This window comes from Homo sapiens, chromosome 7 (genome assembly GCF_000001405.40).
Source record: "Homo sapiens chromosome 7, GRCh38.p14 Primary Assembly".
Classification (NCBI taxonomy): Eukaryota; Metazoa; Chordata; class Mammalia; order Primates; family Hominidae; genus Homo; species Homo sapiens.
In genome coordinates, this window is record NC_000007.14 from 53824190 (window position 1) to 53835275 (window position 11086).

Sequence of the window (11086 nt, forward strand, 5' to 3'; positions counted from 1 at the left end):
AAACAAACAGAAAACAACAACAGCAGCATCAACAAAAATGCCCCCACAAAATCCAAAGAATTTCCAACCCAGAATTTGATATCCAACCAAACTAAGCTTCCTAAACAAAGGAGAAATAAAATCATTTTAAGACAACAAATGCTGAGGGAATTTGTCACCACCAGGCGTGCCTTGCAAGAGCTCCTGCAGGAACCACTAAATATGGAAAGAAAAAACCATTACCAGCCATTACAAAACACACTGAAGTACAACACTGACCAATGACACTGAAGGAACTACATCAACATGTCTGCAAAATAACCAGCTAGCATCATGACAGGATCAAATTCACATATAACATTATTAACCTTAAAAGTAAATGAGCTAAATGCCACAATTAAAAGACACAGAATGGCAATCTGGATAAAGAGTCAAGACTCTTCTGTGTGCTGTCTTCAAGAGAGTCATTTCACATGCAAAGACACACATAAGCTCAAAATAAAAGGATGGAGAAAAATTTACCAAGCAAATGGAAATCAGAAAAAAAGCAGGGGTTGCAATTCTAGTTTCGAATGAAACAGACTTTAAACCAACAAAATCAAAAAAGACAAAGAAGGGCACTACATAATGGTAAAAGGTTCAATTCAATAAGAAGAGCTAACTATCTTAAATTTATATTCACCCAATACAGGAGCACCCAGATTTATAAAACAAGTTCTTAGAGACCTATAAAAAGACTTAGACTCCTACACAAAAATAGCTGGAGACTTTAACAGTCCACTCTCAATGTTAGACAGATCATTGAAACAGAAAATTAACAAAGATATTCAGGATGTGAACACAACTTTAGATCAAGCAGACCTCATAGGAATCTACAGAACACTTCACCCACAGAGAACATAGTATATATTCTTCTCAGCACCACATGGTACTTAATCTAAAATTTATCACATAAATGGAAGTAAAATATCCCTCAGCAAATGCAAAAGAACTGAAATAATAACAGTCTCTCAGACCACAGCACAGTCAAATTCAAACTCAAGATTCAGAAAGTCACTCAAAACCATACAACTATATGGAAATTGAACAACCTGCCCCTGAATGACTCCTGGGTAAATAATGAAATTAAAGCAGAAATCAAAACTTTCTTTGAAACCAGTGAGAACAAAAAGACAAGATACATGCCAGAATCTCTGGGATGCAGCTAAAGCAGTGTTAAGAGACACATTTACACCACTAAATGCCCACATGGAAAAGATAGAAAGGTCTCAAATCAACACTCTAACAACACAATTAAAAGAGCTAGAGAAGCAAGAGGAAACAAACCCCAAAGTTAGCAGAAGACAAGAAATAACCAAGATCATAGCTGAACTTAAGGAGATCCAGACATGAAAACCCCTTCAAAAAATCAACAAACCCAAGAGTAGTTTTTTTTGAAAAAAATAAATAAATAAAACAAGTAAACCACTAGCTATATTAATAAAGAAGAAAAGAGAGAAGAATCAAATAGACACAATAAAATTGATAAAGGGGATATCACCACTGACTCCACAGAAACACAAACAACCATCAGAGAATATTATAAATGCCTCTATGCAAATAAAGTAAAATCTAGAAGAAATGGATAAATTCCTGGACACATACATCCTTCCAAGACTGAACCAGGAAGAAATTGAATCCCAGAATAGAACAATAACAAGTTCTGAAGAGGGAGCAGTAATAAACAACATACCAACCAAAAGGAGCCCAGGACCAGATAGATTTACAGCTGAATTCTACCAGAGGTACAAAGAGGAGCTGGAACCATTTCTTCTAAAATGATTCCAAACAAATTAAAAGGAGAAACTCCTTCCTAACTAATTTTATGAGGCAAGCATCATCCTGATAGCAAAACCTAGCAGAGAGAGAGAGAGAAGGAAAGAAGGAAGGAAGGAAGGAAGGAAGGAAGGAAGGAAGGAAGGAAGGAAGGAAGGAAGGGAGGAAGGAGAAAGAAAAAGAAAGAGAGGGAGGAAGAGAGAGAGAAAGAGGAAGAGAGAGAGAGACAGAAGGAAGGAAGGAAGGAAAAGAAATGGAAAGGAAAGGAGAGGAGAAGAGAGAAGAAAAGAAAAGAGAAAAGAAAAGAAGGAGGGAGGGAGGGAGGAAGGATGGAAGGAAAGAAGGAAGAAAGGAAGGAGAGAAGAGAGGAGAGGAGAGAAGAGAAGAGAATAGAAGAGAAGAGAAGAAAAGAGAAGAGAAGAGAAGAAAAGAGAAGGGAAGAGAAACTTCAGGCTAGTATCCCTGATGAAGACTGATGCAAAAATCCTCAATTAAATACTGGCAAACTGAATCCAGCAGCACATTGAAAAGCTTATCCACCATGATCAAGTCAGCTTTATCCCTGGGAACCAAGGCTGGTTCAACATACTCAAACAAATAAATGTATTTCATTACATAAACAGAACTAATAGATGTAGAAAAAGGCTTTGATAATATTAAACATCCCTTCATGCTGAAAACTCTCAGTAAACTAAGTATTGACAGAACATACCTCAAAATAACAAGAGCCATTTATGATACACCTACAGCCAACATCATACTGAATGGACAAAAGCTGGAAGCATTCCCCTTGAAAACTGGCACAAGACAAAAATGCCCTCTCTCACCACTCCTATTCAATATAGTATTGGAAGTTCTGGTCAGGGCAATCAGGCAAAATAAAGAAATAAAGCATATTCAGCTAGAAAGAGAGGAAATCAAACTGTCTTTGTTTGCAGATGACAGGATCCTATATCTAGAAAACTCCACTGTCACAGCTCTAAAACATCTTAAGCTGATGAGCAACTTCAGCAAAGTCTCAGGACACAAAAACAATGTGTGAAAATCACAAGCATTTCTACACACCAACAATAGAAAAGCAGAGGACCAAATCATGAATGAACTCCCACTTACGATTGCTACAGAGAGAATAAAATATCTAGGAAGAGAGCTTACAAGGAATGTGAACGACATCTTCAAGGAGAACCCATAATGACTTCTCAAGGAAATAAGAGAGAACACAAAAAAATAAAAAACTATTCCATGCTCATGGATAGGAATAATCAATATCGTGAAAATGGCCACACTGCCCAAAGAAATTTAAAGATTCATTGTTGTTCCAATTAAACTACCATTGATATTCTTCACAGAATTAGAAAAAACTTCTTCAAAATTCATATGAAACAAACAAAAAAAGCGCATATAGCCTACACAATCCAAAGGAAAAAGAAGAAAGCTGGAGGCATCATGCTACCCGACTTCAAACTATACTACAAGGCTACAGTAACCAAAATAGCATGGTGCTAGTACTAAAACAGACACATAGACCAGTGAAACAGAATAGAGAACTCAGAAACAAGACCACACACCTACAAAACAATCTGATTTTCTACCAACCTGACAAAAACAAGCAATGGGGAAAGGATTCTCTATTTAATAAATGGTGCTGGGATAACAGGCTACCCATATGCAGGAAATTTGAACTGGACCCCTTCTTTACACATTATACAAAACTAAACTCAAGTTTTTAAAGACTTAAATGTAAAATCCAAAACTACAGAAACCCTAGAAGAAAATCTAGGCAATATCATTCAGGACATGGGCACAGGCAAAGATTTCATGACAAAAACCTCAAAACTGATTGCAACAAAAGCACAAATTGGCAACTGGGATCTAATTAAGCCAAAGAACTTCTGCACAGCAAAAGAAAATATCATCAGAGTGAACAGACAACCTATAGAATGAGAGAAAATTTTTGCAATCTATTCATCTGACAAGGGGTTAATTTCCAGAGTCTACAAGGAGCTTAAACAAACTTACCAGAAAAAGACAACCCCATTAAAAAGTGAGCAAAGGACATGAACAGGCACTTCTTAAAAGAAGACATTTATGCGGCCAAAAAACCTGAAAAAATCTCAACATTATTGATCATTATCAAAAGCACAGTGAAATACCATCTCAGGCCAGTCAGAATGGTGATTATTAAAAAGTCAAGAAACAGCAGATGCCAGCAATGCTGTGGAGAAATAGACACACTTCTACACTGTTGGTGGGAATATAAATTAGATCCATCATTGTGAAAGACAGTATGGCAATTCCTCAAAGATCTAGAACCAGAAATACCATTTGACTCAGCAACCCCATTACTTGAAATATATACACAAGGGAATATAAATCATTCTATGATAAAGATACATGAATGCATTTGTTCATTGCAGCCCTATGCATAATAGCAAAGATATGGAATCAACCCAAATCCCCATCTATGACAGACTGGATTTAAAAAATGTGGTGCATATATGCCATGAAATACTATGCAACCATAAAAAGGAATGAGATCATGTCCTTTGCAGGGACATGGATGGAGCTGGAAGCCATTATCCTCAGCAAACTAATGTAGGAACAGAAAACGAAACACTGCATGTTCTCACTTAGAAGTGGGAGCTGAACATTAGGAAAAATAGCTAATGCATGCTGGGCTTAATACCTAGGTGACAGGTTGATTGGTGCAGCAAACCACCACGGCCCATGTTTCCTATGTAACAAACCTGCACATCCTGCACATGTACACCAGAACTAAAAATAAAATAAAATAAAATAAAAAAGAATACAGGAATTCCTCAGAGATACTGCAGGTTTGGTATCAGACCACCACAATAAAGCAAATATCACAATAAAAAAATAATAAGTGGGAGGTGAACAATGAAAACACATGGACACAGGGAGGGATACAACACTCACTGAGGCGTTTTGGTGTAGATTGTTGGGGAAAGAGAGCGTCAGGATAAATAGCTAATGCATGCTGGGTTTAATACCTAGGTGATGGGTTGACAGGAGCAGCAAACCACCATGGCACACGTGTACCTATGTAACAAACCTGCACATCCTGCACATGTATCCTGGAACTTAAATTAAATTAAATTAAATTTAAAAAAGAAATTCAAATAATAAATTGAGATGTTTCAGTTTTGTTTCAAGTGGCATTCCATCAGGAAAAAAACATTAGAAATAAAAGTAATACAAAAATCAATTGATAATTATTGAATTATTGAAAGTAATTTAAATTCAATTGAATAATTGAAAGTACAAAATAATTAATGAAAGCTTCGGTTTTTCAAAGTGGAATAGTATAAACCTTCTATCATAAGCTAATTGAAGTAAAACTAGCATAGTGATATTTTGGAGAAATTGTGGAACTTCAAATATAAAGACACTGTCATAACAGGAGAAAATACATAGATTAAGTGTAATGACCATCATGCTATCAGCAAATATTACAGTAATACAGACCATTTACAAAAAGTGTATTATTTATACATTTTATAACATGCTTGTCTGTAAATGAGCCTAGAAATAAATTTAAAAAATTTAAAACCTATGTTGTCAGAAAAATAAAGAAACAATGCTAAAGTCAGAGTTTAAAAAAATGCCAAGATGGATGTTTTGAGTTGGATAATTAAAGCATATGAATGCTATGGTCATTAATTTAGAAAGATACAATTAAAAAATAGATGTACATACTGATTTTGAAATATTTAAGCACACATATTAAAAATTCAAGAGTGATCGGCTGGGCGCAGTGGCTCACACCTGTAGTCCCAGCACTTTGGGAGGCCGAAGTGGATGGATCATGAGGTCAGGAGTTCAAGACCAGCCTGGCCAACATGGTGAAACCCTATCTCTACTAAAAATACGAAAATTAGCCAGGTGTGGTGGCAGGCACCTGTAGTTCCAGCCGCTCGGGAGGCTGAGGCAGGAGAATCGTTTGAGCCTGGGAGGCGGAGGTTCCAATGAGCCAAGATCACACCATTGCATGCCAGCCTGGGCAACAGAGCAAGACTCCATCTCAAAAAAAGGAAAAAAAATTCAAGAGTGACCACAAAAATTGCAAAATATAATTGTTCACTTCCAGAAACACCAAGATGAATAGTTTCTATGAAGAAAATTTCTGTCAATTCAACAGAAGGGAGAAAAATGTAAAAATCCATAAATTTAAAATATCAATCAGACTTTAGAAATAATTATTAATAGCTCATTACCTAAAATATGAGTAAATATTAAAATACATCAAATAGCAGAAATAAAAACTGAATTTGAAAACTAACATTTATCAAAATCAAAACACACAGAGACACACTCATGTGCATACATATTTGCAATAGTATTAGATCACAGAGGAAATCTCAAAAATTTTAGATAATAGGAATTATATAGAATAGGTTATTTTATTACAGTGGTATCAAATTTGAGTCAATATGAAAGTATCAAAAATCAATAAATAAAGTTTATTGGGCTTAAATTTTACTCTTAATTAACTCAGGATATGAAAAAGAAGACACAATTGGAAACATAAAATGTTCAGAACTACTTACTTAAATCTACAGGGTACATATATATTGCATTAAAAATAAAACAAAATAGGTAAGGTATCTAAGAAAATAAATACACATTTAAATTCTGTGGCCCTACTATCAACAAGATATACCTATTATTTATAGAATAAAATAAATAATAAAAATATAAATGATAATTAATAAAACCAGAAAGGAATTAAATAAGGAGAATTTTAACTCACATTTGGTGCATTAGAAAAAATTTTACAAACTTATGAAATATACAAACCTGCAGCAAAATAAACCACAAAACCCAGAGAAAATATATTACAATAGATAATTAATGAAAATAGTTTAAAAGTTGATAAAACTACAGATATAAACAATAATATAGAAAGGCTTAAAGTACTATAAGCAAATAAATGAAATAAATGTTAAAATGTAGTAAACATCTTTTTTTCTAAAAAAATTAACAAAATTATAGGAAAGTTAGAAAAAATAAAATTTAATATATAGAATAAGTAAGATAATAATAATTAAGGACATTATTTGAATGAAATGCAGCAAATATTTACATACAGGCAGAAAACATTTGAAGGAAAATATTACAGTGTCATTAATAAGGAGATAATGCTTACTCTTTTTGATACTTTTGAAACAATTGTAAAGGATGAACAGTTATTTAAATCAAAACATTCTAGGAAACTGATCTAACCTTAGTCACAAAATAAGACAACAACAGCAAGAATGAAAGTCAGAAAGACGGCAGAAGCAGCACCAGGCCACAGCCTGCATCTGTAAACTGACTTAACAACAATATATGGATCAAGTTGCCTTTCTGAGAATTCCATAAGCCAATTAAAAAATTGTAGCACATAAATGAGGTCAAAGTCAAGAAGACTTACACCAAAGCAGGGATTTGCTTATTTTAGATCCAAGCCCTATCTGCCATCTTACTCAAAAATTTACAGAACTACCAGCAACCAGCTCTTCCCTCAATTGGAAAGAGAAGAATGGGCTGTTTTCTGGCTTTTTGGGAAGATGCTTAAGGGAGTAGTCTCTGTCTAGCCTGACTCAGAACACTGATTGGAAAGGCAGCATAGGATAGATGCCAGGTTAGGAGCTGCAAAGAAAAAATTATTGTGTGAATTACAGTCCAAGGGAGACTGAAGTAGTACATACAGATACAATGAAAAGTAAGAGAGTATAGGCTCTTGAGAAGAAAACAGTCAAGCCTCTGTCACAGGAAAATTACACATGCAAGGCCAGAGATGATGCATCTCCAGGGAAGGGCTGAGAAACTAAGCTAGCCTGATTGGTGTAAGTGCTCTCCTGTACAAACCCATTTCAGAAGACTGGAAAGAGGTTTTTTTCATATACTTAAATACCAAGAGAAGATTACATGGTATACAAAAAAAAAAAAAGAAAGAAAGAAAGAAAAAAATATGGCTTAATCAAAGGGTAAAACAATGAGTTTCCAAAAACTGACCTTAAAGAAATGAACTATGATTACCTAACAAAAACTCAAACTAAGAAATTATTTTTTATAGTACAAGAATACTATATCCACAGAAAGTGTCCTTCAAAAATGAAGAAAAGTTTAAGACTTTCACAGATAAATAAAGGCTGAGACATTTTACCACTGCTAGGTCTGCCCAACAAGAAATTCTAAGGGAGTTCTTTGAGTTGAAATGAAAGGAAGCTAGAGAGCAGCTCAAACCATATGAAAATATAAAACTCCTTTCTAAAGATAAATATATGGACAAATAAATAATCTGGTAATATCATAATATGGGTGCATAGATCACTTTAAATTCTGTATAGAATTTAAAGCATAAAATAATTATAAATCTGTGTTAATGAATTAATATTAAAAGATTTAATTGGGAATATTAATAACATAAATGGGGTGTGTTATCAGTTAAAAATAGACTGTTACATAACCTTATATTGTTTATGTAATCCCTATGGTAACCACAAATAAAATTCCTATGGAAGATACATAAAAGTTGAATAAACAATCAAAACAGTTCACTCACAAAAAATCAATGAAACATAAAGAAAGGCAGTAAGATAGTGAAAAAAGGACAACATAACTACGAGACACACAAATCAATTAATAAAATGCCAAACAAATTTTTTAAAAGAACCTACCATGTTAAAGAAAAAAAAAATTTCCACATTATTTTCTAACTATTGCTCCATTGTTCCATTTCATTCTTGCCTTTACAGCAGTTTTTTCAAAAGGGGTTTCTCTAGTCACTTTCTCTACTTGTTTACCTTTCTAAATTCATCTTAACTTTTAACTAAACCCAGACAAGTATTTATGAAGTATGCATAAACTATAGAGACTGAAGAAACAGACACCATCTACCCACTATTACCATTAATTTTGAGCATTCCCATTAATGTTAAAATTCCCTGTATGCCACTCCTAGATCCAGTTCACTTCTTTCTCCTTTAGAGATAATCACCATCCTGAATTTCTTTACGGTTTCCCATGTTTATATTCCCAATAAGCATATCTCAATATACATTTCATTTTAAATGAGTGAAGTTATACTGTATCTGTTACTGACTTGCTCATCTTGCTCAACATTATGTTTCTGAGATTCATCCATATATAAATACTACGTAGCTGTACTTCATTCATTTTCACTGCTGTATTCCACTGTATGGGTATATCAAAGATTTTCCATTTTATTGTTGATGAACATTTGGGTTGTATCTAAATTTTTGCTACCTTAAACTGCACAGCTATGTGCATTCTTGTTTTGTCTCCTTCTGTCAAACTATAGTAAAGGACCAAGCTTTTGGGATTTTCCCTAATGTGTTGTGGATTGATGTTTTTGTAAAATACACTAAAAATGCCTCATCATTGTCAAATTGCTATAAAAATATATAAACCTTTACTCTAAAAAGATGTCAACAGCAAGTCATTCACTATCAGCAATTACTTTAAATGTAAATGGATTAAACATTCTAATAAAAAACAGGTTAGCTGAATTGGTAAAAAAACAAAATACAACTATGTGCTCTCTGAAAAAGACTAAGTTTTGATTTAAGAGTGCATATAGGGTGAAAGTGAAAAAATATAAAAAACTGTCCATGCAAATGGTAACCAAAAGAAAGCAGAGGTGACTATACTAATATCAAAGAATATTGACTTTGAGCCAAAACTGTCATGAGAGAGAAAAAAGACATTATATAATAATAAAAAAATCAATTTGACTGGAAGATTGATATAGTTTACATATTTGTTCCCACCTAAATCTCTTGTTGAAATGTAATCCCCAGTGTTGGAGGTGGAGCCTGGATTCACCTTTGAATCATGGGAATTGATTCCTCATGGGTGGCTTGGGCCATCGTCTTGGTTGTAAGTGAGCTCTCACTCCGAGTTCACATGAGATCTGGTTGTTTAAAGTATGTGGCACCTCTCATTCCACTCTCTCTCTCTCATTCCTGCTTTCAACATGTGACATACAAGCTCCTTCTTCATGTTCCACCATGAGTAAGAGCTCCCTGAGGCATCCTCAGAAGCCTAGGGATGTTAGTACTATGTTTCCTATACCGCCTTCAGAACCATGAACTAATTAAACCTTTTCTCTTCATAAATTATCCAGTCTCAGGTATTTCATTACAGCAATGCAGGAATGGCCTAACACAGAAAATTGGTACCAAGAGTGGGGTATTGTTATAAAGATACCTGACAATTTAAAAGCAGCATTGGAACTGGGTAGAGATTGGAAGTGTTTGGAGGGCTCAGAAGACAGGAAGATGTGGGAAATTTTGGAACTTTTCAGAGACTGGCTATATGGGTTGTGACCAAAATGCTGACAAGGATATGAAATGAAGTCCAGGCTGCTGTGGTCTCAGGTGGAAATGGGGAACTTATTGGGAACTGGAGCAAACCTCATGTATGTTATGTCTTAGCAAAGAGCTTGGCTTCATTCTCTTCATGCCCTAGATATCTGTGGAAGTTGGAACTTAAGAGTGATGGTTTAGGGTATGTGGCAGAAGAAATGTCTAAACAGCAAAATTGAAGATGTAGCCTGGCTGCTTCTTACAACCTGTGCTAAGATGTGGAAGCAACAAAATGACTTAACAGTGGAACTTAATTTAAAAGGGTAGAACATAAACATTTGAAACATTTGCAGCCTGGCCATGTGGCAGAGAAAGACAACACATTTTCAGGAGAGGCTGTAGACCAACCACTTGTTAGAGAAATTTGCATAACTAAAAAGGAGACAAGTGCTGATTGCCAAAGCAATGGGCAAAAGGCCTCAAAGGTATTTCAGAGACCTTCATGGCAGTTCGTATCATCCCTGACCTAGAGGTACATGAGGGAAGAATGATTTCCTGAGCCAGGACAAGCCAAGGACCCTGCTGACCTGCCCAGTGTCAGAACACTGCTCCCCGTATCCCAGCCACTAAGGCTCCAGCCTTGGCTCTATAGGCCCCATATAACACTTATGCAGCTGCTCCAGAGAGCACAAGCTACCATAAGCACTGGTGTTTTCCACAAGATATTAAGCCTGTGGACACACAGATTGCAAGAGTAAATGAGGCTTGGCATCATCCACCTATATTTCATAGGATGTGTGGAAAAACCCAGGTGCTCAGGCAGAAGCCTGATGGGTAGAACCCTCACAGAGAACTTCTACTAGGGCAATGTCAAGGGGAAATGTGGGGTTGGAGCACCCGCACAGAGTCCCCAGTGGGGCACTGAATAGTGGAGTTCTGCAAAGGAGGCCACAATT